This window comes from Homo sapiens, chromosome 5 (genome assembly GCF_000001405.40).
Source record: "Homo sapiens chromosome 5, GRCh38.p14 Primary Assembly".
Taxonomy (NCBI): domain Eukaryota; kingdom Metazoa; phylum Chordata; class Mammalia; order Primates; family Hominidae; genus Homo; species Homo sapiens.
In genome coordinates, this window is record NC_000005.10 from 141,959,882 (window position 1) to 141,976,061 (window position 16,180).

Genomic DNA, 16,180 nt, shown 5'->3' on the forward strand with positions numbered 1-16,180 from the left:
GGGCTGTCATCGATCTCACAAGGTGGGGTAAGGACTCAGCACAGGGCCTGGCTCAGAGAAAGCACTCAGCACATAAGGACTATGATTTTGCTGTTTATTATCTTCCAAGTTTTATGCCTCATACGCAAATGGCAAAGATGGCCTTGCATTTGTCCCTTCACTTTTTTCTTTGCCTCTTTGGCAGGAATCCCATTTCTCAGGTCTCCCTCAGCTTGGTGTGGGCAAGGTGCTGCCTAAGCTACTAGGAGCCCCTGGGAGCTCAGGGACACAAGGGTGCCCATTGCCCCCTGCTGGCAGCCCACGTGACAGTCTCACTATCCGCCCCGCAATCGTCCCCCTGTGTGCCTGACAGTGAACAAGGCAAGGGGCTGACAGTCGCAGGTGGGGGCAGGGAAAATGAAAGGCGAGAGGCCAGTAGAATGGCTCTGGAATCAGGCCTGGGGGTCCGGGAGGCTCCTCATGGAGGGCACACGCTGAATCCTGACGGACCTGGAGGAGTGAGCCCGAGGAAGTTGAATAGGCAGGAGACAGGCAAAGCTGGTGGCAGGGGCAAAATGGGCAAAGGCCCCGAAGTGGGCAGGCTGGCTCCTGGCTGTGCTGCAAGAGGGTCAGTGCAGTAGTGTAGGGAGGAAGGTTGGGCAGGGGACATAAGCAGGGGTCCTCAGATGATGCAGTGGCCTGGGTTCCCATGGCTAAGAATTTAGACCTTGTCCTGAAGGTCGTGGAGTGCTTTTGAAAAGCTCTACGCAGGATAATGAGAACAGCGACCACATGCCAGGCCTTGTCCTAAGTGCTTTACCTACATCCTCTCATGACGCACTCACAGCCATACCATCACATTGAAGATGCTGAGCACACAGCGTTAGGTAACTTGCCCAAGATCACACAGATGTGCCCTCCAGAAAGGCCTTTTGGCTGCACCCTGGAAAATGGCTTGGAAGGGAACAGAGAAGAGGGAGGGAGCCTAGTTGAGAGTAATGCAGGGGAGCTTTGATGCAGAAAACTCGTTTCCAGAGCGCCATCTGGTGGCCAAAGGCAGAGAAAACGGCACAGAGGCAGGGACCGGGGACAGCCACGAAAACAGGAAGTGGGTGCCTGGGGTTCATAAATATCCACAGCTCCAGCCCCGTGCTACACAGAAGAATACAACAGGAGAAGCTACTCACTGATGACAATAGTATCTCTTAATGGAAAACCTAACGTGGACCAAGGCCACAGAAGGAGTTATGGAATTCATGATAATTTTACTTGTGTTAACATTTATATTCTTCAGAGGACATTGTTTTATCTATATATATTTTACATGCAGTTATATATCTGTTGGGTGTGTGTGTGTGTGTGTCTGTGTTTTGACTGGGAATGTGAATGCAAAAAAATGATGCATAGGTCGCAAGAAAGTTTGAATTTAGATTTCATAGGTGGTTTTTATTGTTTGTTTTATTCACACTGGGGACATGAAGCTAAGATTACCCTTTGAGATTTCAAAGCTGGCAAACAAGGCCCCAGACTTTTTTAAGGTGATCACCTCTGGAAATGAGGTCCCCATTTAGCAATTTTCTCTCCTCCTTCTGGCTGCAGGGGTCAGCTGATCTTTAGCAGTCAAATGCCAAGGGGTGAATGGAGCTGTCACTAGAGTTCGTCTGGAAAGGCGACGTTTTCCTGAGTTTTGAAAATAGGTTTGAAGGAGTGGAGGTACTCTGAAATAGGTTTGAAACAATTGAGGACAGCCTCCCTTAAGTCCAAAATATTTTTTTTAAAAGGGCAGGATTAGGGTTTGTGCTTGAAGGCCTCACTAACCACCAAACTTGGGGTTGTTCACACTTGGGTTCTTAACCACAGGGAGGGCTGAGGGGTGAAGTGGGAAGGGTGGGGGTTCAGAGAATCTTCTTAAAACACCTGGAGTCCTAAGGAACCTTGAGGGGTCAGACTAGTAAGGTGTGACTCTGACCCTTGGAGGACTCCCAGGCCAGCTGAATGAAGGCTGAGATCACACCTCGCCCCTACGAATGTCCCGCTGGGCTGGCTGCCCCACTTCCAGGGCTCTGGTCTTCCAGGCTTTCTCCTCGTGAATCTCCCCTGTGGTTGCCACAGCATCACCACCAAGACAGCTTTGGGGAAGCCAAGAAGCATCCTCCGGCTTATCCCAGGTAGGGAGGTGGTTGGACCGTCCAAGCTCAGCGTCTTTTTTCAGGAAGATCTTGTTGAAGTTAGATTCCTAGTCAGACCAGGAATCTTGACTGGGAGACTCAGGTAGATGTTCTGGGTTATCTGCTCCTAGCAGGGCACTTTGTGGACTTTGTTGAGACAGATGACAGGTGCTGTCTCCCACACAATGGCACCTGTTTCTGGGGTCAGTGCAGAAAAAAGAATGCACTTTGCAGGGAGAAATTTGCCAAGAAATAGGACCTTTCAAGAAATGAAAAAGCTTTATGTCTTGGTTAACAGCGGCAGTTCTCAAAAGGGTCCAGATATCGAAGTCACTTGGAAAGCTTTACAAAATACCAGGGACAGGGCAAGAAAATTCATACTTTTCCCTTTCCCAGAATACTGCCAAAGAATAGTCTGTAATTGCCAGCTCAGTTCCGCACCCTTCATTTGGGACAGGGTTGGGGAATTTGATTGGACCTTTTTGCTGGAAAGAGAGGCTAAGTTGATTTACGTGATAAAAATAAATAGACGGGAGGAGGGAGATTTCTGCAATCTGAGAAAATTCTGGAGAGCAATACAGCAGACAACAGCAGAGGCTGTGAAGGAGGTAGAATGAAGATGAAAAGGACTTTTGAATTCGTTATTGCAAATTATAGACCTCCTTCATGATTTTCAAGAAAAATACAAGAAAAGATTTGTATGTTCTTTTCCAAATTTATTTTGTGCGTTAGTAACCATAACATGGACCCAAAACTGGACCACTTGAGTTCTGGGTTGATAAGAGTTACACACACATGTCTTTCTCCCCAACCTTCGAGAGGAAGGGCACTACTTCTGGTGTACAGATTTCAATTTTGATATATTCTGGGTGATTCCGACATGCATCCTTATCTCCACCCCAACTTCATCGAGAACCACCTATTAGAAATTCTCAGAATCACCATCCCCCATTGCAAAGGCCAAACTCTATAGCGATCAGGCCTTTCTTAACCCAGCATCCTCATGGTCCCCACCTCTCCCTGACATGTGTGTCACTATTCATTATAGAGTTCCATACTCACCTGGTTCTCTCTCCATATTTCTGCAGACTCCTCTATCTGCCTCTCTGGCTCCTTCTTTGGTTTTCCTTCCTTCTAACTCCCAGGTGCAGGCATGTCCCCTAGAAGCTATCTTCTGTCCTTTCCTCTACGTAGGGTTATTGGTCCAGAAAGGGGTTGCCAGATTTAGTAAATAAAAATACAGAGTGCCCAGTTAAATTAGAATTTCAGATAAACAATGAATAATTTTAGTATAAATATTTTAATCTGACAACTCTGCCCAGAAATAATGTATGCTTTCAACACAAGTTCCTTTTTTTTTTTTTTTAAGAATTTTGGTTTGCACAGTGAATTTGAAAATCTATTAGTAAACAGAAAAAAAAATCAAACATATTGACTGGGAGCATCATCTGTGCATGAATATTCAGAAGCGAACTCTGTTGATTGGCCTTGTTATGTGTTCAGCATTTCTGGGTGACTCCAAGATCGAACTGTTTTACACGAAAGAACCACCCTGGAGGAAGCCTAGATTACACTCATTTATTAAATCATTCAGTCATCCAGTCACTCATTTATTTGGTGGAATTTAGCATGTTCCTCTCTATTTACAAGGTCATTTTTTTGGCAAGGGAAGTAGCTCAAGTTGACCCACATTTTCCCTTCCTCTAAACCATTGGCTTGGTTTTTTTCTTCATATAGAATCTAATCGGCCTAATTCTCTCCTTGCTTCAGAAAGGCTCTTGCAGGAAGGAAAATGAGTCTTCCCATCGTTACATAAATTCTCATGGGGCTTCCCTTTATAAGTTTATGACAGCCAGGAGTTGAGCCTGGAGCTCTGAGAGAAACAGCCACACACTGATTTATGATGGCAGCTGCTGCTAAATCTCACCCCTCTTTCCTCCTTACAGAGCCATGTTACCTTGGGGTTACAAAACTCTTTTCACTGTTATTCAGGGGAATAATAATAAAATGCCAGGTTGCGAGTATAAACATGATCATTCTGTGCCTATTATTGTAAATCAAATTTTAGCTTGCATCAAAAGCACAGAAAACATTTTATACTGTCAGCCACCTCAAGCCCTTGTAGCAGTCTGTCTTTATATAACCCTGGGCTGACCTGACCTGAGTTATTGTTTAGGTTGCACTGGCCAGGGAAGCTGGTCACGCAGGTAATCTGGCTATTTCTCCTTACAGACCCAGCTGACCACTTTCCTTGAGCCAAGTATTGACTTGGTCTAAGCATAGCAATGGGGTTAATGATGTGGGCCCAGGGCACCAATTGCCTGGGTTCAGGGATTGGCTCTGTAATTTACCATCTGTGTGACGATGGCAAGTCAATTATCTATGATCAGTTTCCTTAGCTTTAAAATAGGAATGATGATGATGATGATGGTGCTATGTTATAGGGTTGATGTTGGGTTTAGCTTAGTTAACATACAGCACTTAGAGTGGGGCCTGGGATATAAGTAGCACTTTAAGCGTTATTTATAATTGTGCTTCTAGTGTAGGCACTTCCAATTTTTTAGGATGAAGCCTCTATTTTTTTAAATTTTGTTTTATTTTTTGAGACAGAGTCTCATTCTGTTGCCCAGGCTGGAGTGCAATGGTGCGATCTGGGCTCACCGCAACCTCTGCCTCTTGGGTTCAAGTGATTCTCCTGTCTCGGCCTCCCGAGTAGCTGGGATTACAGGTGCCCGCCACCAAGCCCGGCTAATTTTTTTTTTTTTTTTTTGTATTTTTAGTAGAAGCAGGGTTTCACCACATTGGCCAGGCTGGTCTCAAACTCCTGATCTCAGGTGGTCCACCTGCCTCGGCCTCCCAAAGGGCTGGGATAACAGGCATGAGCCACCACGCCTGGCCTGAAACCTCTAATTTTTTTTAAAAAAAAACAATGTTTCAGAGGCCCACATGATAATAGACTTTTAAGATCTACATGATGAGCAAATACACAATGACAAGAGACCAGCAAGAAGTCAGGGACACTTCTGTACTGGGGTAGGGCTCATTAAGGTTCAGTTTTATCCAAAAGTTGGGCAGGGTTTTCCTCTCCACACTGCTGCCCCTCTGTGTTCAAGGGCTTGTTGCAGGAGTGCTTGCGAGTGGTGGCCATGGAAAAGGAGGCAGTCCCCCCTGGGATGGTGGGATGAGTTCAGCAAAGTTTCGGGACAGCTACCAGATGCCAGTGATGGATGGGAACAAATGCAGGCACCGTCAGGTCTGCTAACCCCTATAGTGACAAGCCATAGTTTGTGACTCACTTCTACTCTCCACTCCGTGGCCTGGGTCCCGACCTCTGGTCTAGGTGGTACACTGTAACCTCTCCTCTCCCTAGGCTCCGTCATCATCCGGTGTCCCTGGGGACAGGGGGTGGGAGTTGGGTCTCTTTCTCTGTCTGTGTTCTCATTCTCACCTATCCTTAAGTCATAAACTCGAATCCTAACTTCCCCAGGGCCTTCCCGTTTAGTTCTTAAGGCCAGAACTATTTTACTCTCTGTGAATTTGTTACAAAAAACCCTTATTCTCTGACAGGCTCCTGGAGAGAGTCAGACTGATGAGGAATCGGCTCTAACCCTGGCTCCACCACTGTGTGATACTGGCCAAACCTTAGTGCCTCCATCATCTTTAGCAAACTAGCACAGGAACAGAAAACCAAATACCACATATTCTCACTTGTAAGTGGAAGCTAAATGATGAGAACACATGGTCACAAAGTGGGGAACAACACACACTGGGGCCTACCTACTACAGGGTAGAGGATGAGAGGATGAGAGGAGGGAGAGGATCAGGAAGAATAAAAAGTACTAGACTTAATATTTCGTCACTGGGTGACGAAATAATCTGTACAACAAACCCCCGTGACACGAGTTTACCTACATAACAAACCTGCACATGTACCCATGAACTTAAAAGTTAAAAAAAAAAAAAAAAAGTGGCCCAGGCGCCGTGGCTCACATCTGTAGTCGCGGCACTTTGGGAAGCCAAAGCGGGTGGATCACTTGAGCCCAGGAGTTCAAGACCAGCCTGGGCAACATGGTGAAACCCCATCCCTACTAAAAATACAAAAATTAGCCAGATGTGGTGGTGTGCACCTGGAATCCCAGCTACTCAGGAGGCTGAGGCACGAGAATCGCTTGAACCCTCTACCGGGAGGCAGAGGTTGCCGTGAGCTGAGATTGTGCCACTGCACTCTAGCCTGGGTGACAGAGTGAGACTCGGTCTCAAAAACAAAACAAAACCCCAAAGTATAATACACCTGACTTCAACTTTATGACATTGCTGTCTTTTATTACATCTTTTTATATTAAAAATAAATAAAAATGTCATAAATAGTAATTGTGTAAATATAAAAGGCCTTATTAAAAAAACAAATCTTAGTGCCTCAGTTTTCTCTTCTGTCAAGTGGGCACATAAAATTACCTAAGTCATAGGGTCCTGGGCATTTAAATGAGAGAATGTACGTGAAATATTTAGCACAGTGGAGGGCTAGGCACACGGGGAGACTGCAGTTTAAAAGACTAACCAGGCACATGAGACCAAAGACACAAAAGTCTGTTATTTTCCTAGAGTCAAAAACAAAACTTATTAGAAGGCTGTCTTTACCCAATCTTGTCCTCAAAATTGACTCTAAATCTTTAGTTCACTTTAAACATTCAGTAAATTATTAACACTGCTTTGAAATTCTCTTTCTATTCTCTCTATCCTGTGACCTCTGACATGATGTCACAATTCACCTTCTGCTCTGACTTTGTGAGGATTTCCCAAGCTGGTTGGTGCATGGGCTTCCTCACTTTTTTCCTCACGAAGAGGTCTCTGGTCTCCCCTCTCTGAGCACTCTGAGGTAGGGTTGCTGTGTGTTTTGCTCTTGGTCTAATTCCTTTGGCTAAACATGAATAATTATATTAATGAATGGCTTTGGAGATTCTTCTTCCGTCCTTTGCATTTTTCCGAGATATGTTTCTGGTTTTGGTATCTATTAGAAGGGTATTTTGGTTTCTGTTTTGTGACAATCAAGATTTATAGTACAGAAAATTAGAAGTGATTATTTCTATTTCAAGGTTCTTTCTGTGGCAGCCAGGTAATCCCTTGGGTGCCCTGATTTACTCACTTGGTTTTTTTCTCTCTCCTGGGTATAAGACCAACTACATAATTTACAAAGCCCAGGGCAAAATAAAAATGCAGCCTCTCATTCAGAAATTATTAAGAACTTCAAGAGGGTGAGAGCACAGCATCAAATCAAGAGCAGGGCACTTCTTTTTTATTTTAATTTTTCCATAAGTTATTGGGGTACAGGTGGTATTTGATTACATGAGTAAGTTCTTTAATGGTGATTTGTGAGATTTTGGTGCACTCATCACTCGAGTAGTATACACTGCACCCTATTTGTAGTCTTTTATCCTTCGTCCCCCTCTCATCCTTCCCCCTAAGTCCCCAAAGTCCATTGTATCATTCTTAAGAGCAGGCCACTTCTAAATCTGGGGCCCTTCTAAGTGCAGGGCCCTATGTGACTGCACGGGTTGCTGGCCCATGAATCTAATCCTGCCCGGGAGGCAATGGTGGTAAAAGCTTTAGAATCCTGTAGGCTTGGGTTAGAGTCTTAGCTCTGCAAGTTACTCTTTTGGAGGAAGAAATATATGAAAAAGCGGACACAGGAGCTTATTAGATTGTGAGGAGCACATTAGTTTGATGGGTCCCAGGAGAAGGAGCCAACATTTCTGTATTCCACTTAAGCGCTGAGAACGGTGCTTTGTACCTAAAAAAATTTTTTAATTAAGACATAATTCACATGCAATAAAATTAACTCTTCAAAAGTATACAATCCAGTGGTTTCTAGTACACTCACAAAGTTATACAACTATCACTGCTCTCTAATTCCACAATATTTTCATCACCCAAGAAACACCATATCTATTAGCGGTATCTATTAGCAGTCACTTCCCATTCCCTCCTGCCTTAGTTTCTGGCAACCACTAAACTACTTTTTGTCTCTATGGATTTGCCTATTCTGGACATTTCATATAAATTAAAAACAATATATGGCTTTTTGTGTTTGACTTTTTTTTTTTTTTTTTTGAGACGGAGTCTCGCTGTTACCTAGGCTGGAGTGCAGTGACTCACTGTAACCTCTGTCTCCTGGGTTCAAATGATTCTCCTGCCTCAGCCTCCCTAGTAGCTGGGACTACAGGTGCCCGCCACCATGCCCGGCTTATTTTTTGTATTTTTAGTAGAGACGGGGTTTCACCATGTTGGTCAGGCTGGTCTCGATCTCCTGACCTCGTGATCCACCCGCCTCGGCTTCCCAAAGTGCTAGGATTACAGGCGTGAGCCACCGCACCCGGCCTTCTAAGGGTTTTATAGTTTTAGTTCTTACATTTAGGTCGTTGATCCATATTTAGTTAATTTTTGCATATGGTGTGAGGAAGGAAGTGTATAATTTTAATTCCTGCTTAGCCTGACGATAATCATGTGACCCTTGGTAAGTTCTTGCACCTAAGTCTCAATTTCCTTATTTGTAAAGTGAGAATAACAAATGGTAGCTAAATCATAAGATTACAGTGAAGATAGAAAATTTACGTAGAGCATTTATCACACTGCTTGAAGCATCCTAACTACTCGATAAATGCGGTCGGTGTTACAGTTATAACATGAGCGATGAATGCGTGCTTCCACAGTGGAGTGCCAGAAAGACCGGCAGCATTTCTGAGAAGGTAAACGGGAGGAAGTAGGCTTGCTTAGTCCACTTGGAGAAGCAGGTCTGGGATTGTTGTGAGAGTCTCTGCCCTAGGTAGACCACTGCCTCATGATCCCCTCTAGAGATTGGTAAAAATTCGAATTCTCGGGCCCCATCAGAACTACTGAAAAGAGCCTCCTGTGAGCACAGGGCTCGCAGTAAGTGGGGGTGACGGTGGTCGCGCCGGCAGCGCCGCCTTGGGCCTGCGGGAGGCGCCCGAGAGGCAGGGGCGACCACGGCGGCTGCGCAGAGTCCTCCCTATGCCGGCGGTCGCGCCAGCGGGATCCGCCTGGCTCAGCTGACAGCTCCCGAGAACGGAAGAGGCGGCGCGCCGGTTGAGCAGGGCGTCTCTAGGCCTGGTCGGCTGGCGGCGGTGAGTGGGCCCCAGGCAAGGGCGGAGGGCGGAACTTTGGGGTTCGGCACTGCCGGGCGGCCGGAAGGTACGGTGGGGATAGCTCTCTGGGCGCGCGAGGCAGAGAAGGGGACCGGGCTGGGACTGTACACTGGGCCTCAGTCCCTCAAATCCGGGACCGGGCGTCCGCAGCTCGGCTGGCCGGGACTCCCTTCGGGACGCTGAGGAGGAAGGGGAAGGTGTGGGCCCTGCTCCTTCGGGACGCCCCAGGCTGGCCAGCAGCTCACACATCCGCATTGCGCCCTCTGATCCCAGCGTTGGGGCGGATAGCTAGCGTTGGGCCTGCCCCTGTTTTGGGGCAGTCGCCCAAACGACGCCGCACGCCTAGTGGCGAGCTGAACCCAGACTAGGACACCCGAAGACCAAATGGATAGAGTGAGAAGGAAATGGGGGTTAGCAACCTGAATTGAGGTACTGGATTCCAAGTGACAGCTTCACAAGCTGAAATCTTGTAGGGTAGGTCATGAGGAACTGTTGAAACTGCTTGGAGTAGAAGTTCTTAGCCCTGGCTGCATATTGGAATCACCTGGAGAACTTGGAAAACTACTGAGGCCTGAATTAATTGTTCTAGGGTGTGGCCTGGGTATTGAGATTTTAAAAAACAGCTCCTCAGAAGATTCTAATGTGCAGTCAGATGGAGAACACTAACCTAAAACCATAAACTGCATGAATGAATCTCTCATCCCATTTGCAAATGTTTTAACAGGAAGAAACAAAAAGCTTAATTCAATTAGCACCATATACTCCCACCTAGTAAAATAAGACAATGTGAAAGGACCTAATACAGTACATAGTAGGTGCTCAATTAATGTAAATTGATTCTGAATCTCATTCTTATCTCATTTGGGAGTTACACATCCGAGAATCTGGTTTTTAATTATGGTTTTGTATATAGTATTTTTGCATATAATTTTAGGGTGTTGATAGGATTCTCCGTAGCCCATCTATAGACCACACTCCCTTTTCCCCTCACCCCAGTGAAGAAGCCTAGCTCTAAAGCATTTAGAATAAAACTTAAAAGTTTGTGTTTGTGTACTCTTGTTTTGTTTAAGTATTTTTCTGTTACCAAAATTAACCTTGAGTGCCACTGGCAGGCTTAATTCATGAACAAGAGAGGAAAAACTGGAGGGGAGTGGCAAATGAAGGAATACAAGAAGCAGAAGAGGAAAGGAGAAAAAAACAAAACAAAAAACAAACTGAAGAGATTGTTTGTTATGGGGCATGGTGTCCTGTACTTTCATATGACCTTGGTGTTCCTCCTTAGCTCCTCCCATAGCTGAGGGCAGACAGATAAAAAGTCCTCAGTCATTGCTGGGGACATGCAAATACTCCTTTAACCACATGGCTCAGTTAGCCTGCCCTAGGAGAGTAACATGCACTTGTAGATTAGGATTGGCTATATGTTAGGATATGTTTGACTTAAGCAGTGATCATGGAAATTCAGAATTTTAATTTGGAGAGGGTCCTAACACCATCTTTTGTATTTCTTTTCTGCAGATGGCAGGATTTTCATAATATATGTAGTATGAGTTCCACATCTTGGCCTCTTACCCAGCTTCAGCAGTCTCAGCTCCACCAGTTAGAGAATAAATGGGATTTGCATGAACTCCACTCTGAGCTGAAATACAGACTGCGGTGTTAATATCCTTTTCTTCTGATTGTTATTAACAGGTACTAACTGACCTCAAGTAGAACATGTAATTGTGTCTTAGATAGGGATGCAGCTTAAGCAGAGCCATGAACTAACATCTCCTAGAAAAAAAGTGTTTTTTGAAAATGAAATCATTTTTAATTTCATAGTATGACCTTTTAAAATGTAAAAAATCCTAACTTTTTACTTATGTACATTTTAATTAAAAATATTTTAGTTGTGAGGGAGGATATTTGCAAATGCAATTGTAGTTCAATATTTTAATTGACTGGTAGTTTTGTTTTATTAAAATGATTTTTGTAAATTCTCATTGCATATTTTTTTCACATTTAAATTATCTGAAATTGCTGTATCTTTCAGTTGATGCTATTTTAAAAAACATTGATTCATACTTTATTTTTTGAGACAAGGTCTTGCTCTGTCCCCCAGGCTGGAGTGCAGTGGTGCAAACACGGCTCACTGCAGCCTCAGCATCCAAGGCTCAAGCGATCCTCCTGCCACAGTCTCCTGAGTAGCTGGGACTACAGGCACACACCACCACACCTGGCTAATTTTTTATAGAGACAGGATCTTGCTATGTTGCCAAGGCTGATCTCAAACTGCTGGCCTCAAGTGATCCTCCTGCCTTGGCCTCCCAAAGTGCTGGGATTACGGGCATGAGCCACCATATCCAGCCAGTTCATACTTTAATTGTAGCTAATTTCTTTTTCTTTCTTTCTTTCTTTCTTTCTTTCTTTCTTTCTTTCTTTCTTTCCTTTCTTTCTTCTTTCTTTCTTTCCTTTTTTTTTTTTTTTTTTTTTTGGAGACAGAGTCTGTCTCTGTCACCCAGGCTGGAATGCAGTGGTGCAATCTCAGCTCACTGCAACCTCTGCCTCCTGGATTCTAGTGATTCTCTAGTCTCGTGCCTCAGCCACCGAGTAGCTGGGATTACATGCGTGTACCACAATGCCCGGCTAATTTTTTTATTTTTAGTAGAGATGGGGTTTTGCTGTGTTGGCCAGGCTAGTCTTGAACTCTTGGCCTCAAGTGATCTGCCTGCCTTGGTCTCCCAAAGTGCTGGGATTAAAGACTTGAGCCACTGTGCCTGGGCCTTGTAGCTAAATTCTTAGTATTACCTAAAATAATGGTAAATCTTTCTTAAAATTATTATCTTTTAAATATTCTTGAGTCATAATGGTGAATCTTTAAATTGGTGACTGCTTGGATTTGACAAAATCTATTATTTCAAAAATTTAATATTATTTTGCTGCTTGCTCAGTTATCTAATTTTCTTCCATAATATCTATGCCTGTAACATTCTCAAGCACTGTTTTCTCACCTGGGAGCAATTTTGCCTCCAACCCCCATCCTGCCCCAGGACCTGGCGCTATTTGGAGATATTTTTTTTTTTGAGACAGGGTCCCACTTTGTCACTCAGGCTGGAGTGCAGTGGTGCTATCATGGCTCACTGCAGCCTCGACCTCCCAGGCTCAAGTGATCCTCCCATGTCAGCTCCCCAAGTAGCTGGGACCACAGGCAAGCACCACCACACCTGGCTAGATATTTTCAGTTGTCACAGCTCTTGTGGGTGGAAGCGGGCCACTATTGGGTATCTAGTGGGTAAAAGCCAGGGGATGCTGTTAAGATTCTATAATGCACAACACAGCTCTCCAACAACAATTATTTACTTCAAAATGTCAATAGAGCTGAAGCTAAGAAAACTTGCCCTAAAGATTCCTGTGGATTTAAAAAATTTACTTTTTTGTTTTTTTGAGACAGAGTCTGACTCTGTCGCCCAGGCTGGAGTGCAATGGTGCAATCTCAGCTCACTGCAACCTCTGCCTCCCACGTTCAAGCAGTTCTCCTGCCTCAACCTCCCGAGTAGCTGGGATTACAGGGGTGAGCCACCACACCCAGCTAATTTTTGTATTTTTAGTAGAGATGGGGTTTCACCACGTTGGCCAGGCTGGTCTCGAACTCCTGACTGCAGGTGATTTGCCCGCCTCGGCCTACCAAAGTGTTGGGATTACAGGCACGAGCCACCGCGCCTGGCAAATTAACTTAAGAAAGGAGTGTAATATACTTTGACCACTTTTGCGAACCAGGCACATTGCTAGGTTCAGTGGACAAGTCAAAGTAAATTTGTGATTTGTCCTTTTCAAAGAAAATTTTCAAATTGTGCTTTTTTTCCTCTAATTCAGTCATAAAATATCTAACTGATAAGATCAGGAATTAGAAGTACCACAACCATCCCTTTTGAAAAAGACTGTTAATATTGCAAAACTAATGGAATGCCAGATATGGCTGTCATTTTTGGTTTAGGAGAAAAGTGATAATATCGATTAATTCTTTGCAGTTGTTTTTTGTGCCATTAAGCTTTTTCCACCTCTGTGCATTTTCTTTTCTTTTTTTTTTTTTTGAAACGGAGTTTCACTCTTGTCGCCCAGGCTGGAGTGCAGTGGCGTGATGTTGGCTCACTGCAGTCTCCACCTCCCGGTTCAAGCGATTCTCCTGTCTCAGCCTCCCAAGTAGCTGGGATTACAGGCACCTGCCACCACGCCTGGCTAATTTTTGTATTTTTAGCAGAGATGGGGTTTCACCATGTTGGCCAGGCTAGTCTTGAACTCCTGACCTCAGGTGATCCGCCCGCCTCGGCCTCCCAAAGTGTTGGGATTACAGGTGTGAGCCACCACACCCGGCCAGCCTCTGTGCATTTTCTGTTCTTAACTGATTTTAATGTTTTCAGGTCCTTATGTCGTCAGAAGATCGAGAAGCTCAGGAGGATGAATTGCTGGCCCTGGCAAGTATTTACGATGGAGATGAATTTAGAAAAGCAGAGTCTGTCCAAGGTGGAGAAACCAGGATCTATTTGGATTTGCCACAGAATTTCAAGATATTTGTGAGCGGTTAGTTAATAATTTCTTAAACAGATTTTTCTATTATTCTTTATTTCTTAGTGTACCTTAAACTATTTGTCATTTTGTGTTTTAGGCATTAGTGATAGGTGGTAGTATTACAGAGGTAATGCATGTTTCTGTTTTAAATGAAAATTGCAATGAGGGGCAAGCAGTTTTCAATTTGATTCTACCTTTTTGATCACTGAAGAGGGATATTATCCTGCATATTTCATACATCCTGGTCTGCTAACTAGCAGTTTATCAGCCATGAGTCATTGGCTGTTACATAGCAGTAATCAAAGAGAAAATGAATGTATGTGAAAACGCTTAGAAATTTTCAAGTACAGTGGTGGTGGTTAATACTATTTGGTTTCCAGAATCATTTCAACTACTATAAACATATGACACATGCTATTACTCTGTGACCTTTTGCTTCAGAAAAAACAAAACTGCTGCTTTTGATACAGACATTTACAGAAGACTTTGATGCACACTTTCTCAAAATGTTTCTACTATAAAGGGATTGAGTAAGGAAAGTAAGTGTGGTAATTTAAATGAAACTTTGATTGTGAGAGTGTTGTGTGCTATATTATATCCTCAAACCTGAGATCATTGTGTTGGCACAAATTTTCCCAACTGATTCATGGGTAGTTGGGACATGCTGGTCTAAGTGGGACATGCTGGTCTAAGTAGGTCATGCTGTTCAATGGAAATGAACATCCTTTCTCTAGATTGTGTCTTCAATCATCCACTGTAAACCAAACCACAACAAAACAAACATTGTGTGTTCCTTGGTCATTAGTGTTAGGAATTGTACTCAGAAGTGTATACAAGAATAAGTTGTAGTATTTTCATTATACATTTCATGGTGCTGTAGATTTTTCAAGGGCTTACAAGATTTTTTTTTAAGGTGGTGGCTACGAAGTTAAAATTAAGAAATAGAAAGTGCTTTGGGGGAGGGTTTTTATTCCCTCAACTAAAGCATTAAGTCTTTCTTGAGCGCTGCTCAACAGTAGTGGACACTCAAGTGTTGACCAACTGATCCTTTCTAATCTTTGTTTTTGGTTCAGGCAATTCAAATGAGTGTCTCCAGAATAGTGGCTTTGAATACACCATTTGCTTTCTGCCTCCACTTGTGCTGAACTTTGAACTGCCACCAGATTATCCATCCTCTTCCCCACCTTCATTCACACTTAGTGGCAAATGGCTGTCACCAACTCAGGTTAGACTTGAAACTTAATTTTTCCTATCCATTTTTAGAAACTTAAAAATCACCTTTAATTGAAGACTATCTTAAAGATCTTGAATTCAGTGCATGAAAAACAAATGGCTTTGGTTTTGTAATTTTTTTCCCTTGCCTTGGTGAATCCTGATGTTAAGAAATTGAAAATGTTTGGTGTTTTAAAAAGGAATGGCAGTAATTAAAACAATCATGAATTGTAGTAGGAGTAATTTTTAATCAAGTATATTATTTCTTTTCTTGTCTTGCTATTTTCCTGTTTAATCTGTATTATAATGGAGACTAAGAGGTCTTCCTCATTTTCCTTAGACATTGATACTACTTTTCTCTTAGTTTCTTATCCATTCCTTAAATGAAAGATTCCATTGTAATTAGGACTAAAAATTGAGCTAATGTAGTTATAATAAGCAAATTTTCTGAGTGAATACAATAACTGATTTTCTTTGTAAAAATCTGTATTAATAACAAATAACAGTCAACTGGTATCACGTAGACATAAATGCATACAAGTAGAAATGTGTATAGTTCCTGTAGATATCTCAGTAAGGCTTGAGGCCTTATGTTAAGCACCTCATTTCCTCTGGGTTATATATACTTTTCTAGTAACAACCTCAACTCTTGATTGAGACATAAATATGGCTTGAAGCTAAATATAAATAATATAAAGCATTCTGGGAGAGATAATGAATCAGCAGCTGCTTTTCTAGAAGTCATAATGAAGATCAATAGACTAATGTGTATTAAGACAAAAGCTCAGCCTGTGCAACATGGCGAAACCCAATTTCTACAAAAAATACAAAAATTAGCCAAGTGTGGTGGTGCGTCCCTGTAATCCCAGATACTTGGGAGGCTGAGGTGGGAGGATCACTTGAGCCTGGGTGGCAGAGATTGCAGTGAGCCAAGACTGAGCCACTGCACTCCAGCCTGGGTGACAGACAGAGACCCTGTCTCAAAAAAAAAAAAAAAAGAAAAAGACAAAAGATGTCAGAGTTGCTGACCTCAAGGAATAGCTCATTAGTTTTTCTCTTTGGATCATACAGTTTTCATTTCCCCATCCACCAATCTAATCTTTTAAGTGAGAGTACTTT

At 43.3% G+C, this 16,180-nt stretch overlaps 1 protein-coding gene and 1 long non-coding RNA gene across 25 annotated transcripts in view, besides 2 other annotated features; one reads left to right on the forward strand and one right to left on the reverse strand.

The window, feature by feature from the left end:
* RNF14 (ring finger protein 14) overlaps positions 1-16,180 on the forward strand; it is a 40,956-nt gene that overhangs the window by 10,545 nt on the left and 14,231 nt on the right. For 3 of the 23 annotated variants that reach the window (XM_047417908.1, XM_047417904.1, XM_047417903.1), the window contains exons 2-4: positions 10,823-10,996; positions 13,702-13,861; positions 14,923-15,074. In XM_047417908.1, coding sequence (XP_047273864.1) covers positions 13,708-13,861; positions 14,923-15,074 — 306 coding nt within the window. In that variant the 5' untranslated portion in view covers positions 10,823-10,996; positions 13,702-13,707. Of the gene's footprint in view, positions 1-6,961; positions 7,024-8,679; positions 8,891-9,032; positions 9,782-10,822; positions 10,997-13,701; positions 13,862-14,922; positions 15,075-16,180 lie in introns of those variants that run through there. The other 20 variants (XM_047417899.1, XM_047417907.1, XM_047417898.1 and 17 more) reach the window with 15 other exon arrangements.
* LOC124901095 (uncharacterized) lies at positions 2,666-9,899 on the reverse strand. Of its 2 annotated transcripts, none has more exons than XR_007058977.1 (3): positions 9,727-9,899; positions 3,210-3,333; positions 2,666-2,744 (listed from the first exon to the last, which is right to left on the reverse strand). It is a non-coding gene; the product is annotated as an uncharacterized LOC124901095 (long non-coding RNA). The 2 variants fall into 2 exon arrangements; XR_007058976.1 differs by lacking the exon at positions 9,727-9,899 and adding an exon at positions 5,444-5,529.
* Positions 9,007-9,146: a silencer, noted in NCBI's record as "silent region_16464". NCBI's record gives its function as "represses an Ori minimal core promoter by ATAC-STARR-seq in GM12878 lymphoblastoid cells {active_cell/tissue: GM12878}" and the evidence as "EXISTENCE:reporter gene assay evidence [ECO:0000049][PMID:35858748]".
* Positions 9,257-9,406: an enhancer, noted in NCBI's record as "active region_23314". NCBI's record gives its function as "activates an Ori minimal core promoter by ATAC-STARR-seq in GM12878 lymphoblastoid cells {active_cell/tissue: GM12878}" and the evidence as "EXISTENCE:reporter gene assay evidence [ECO:0000049][PMID:35858748]".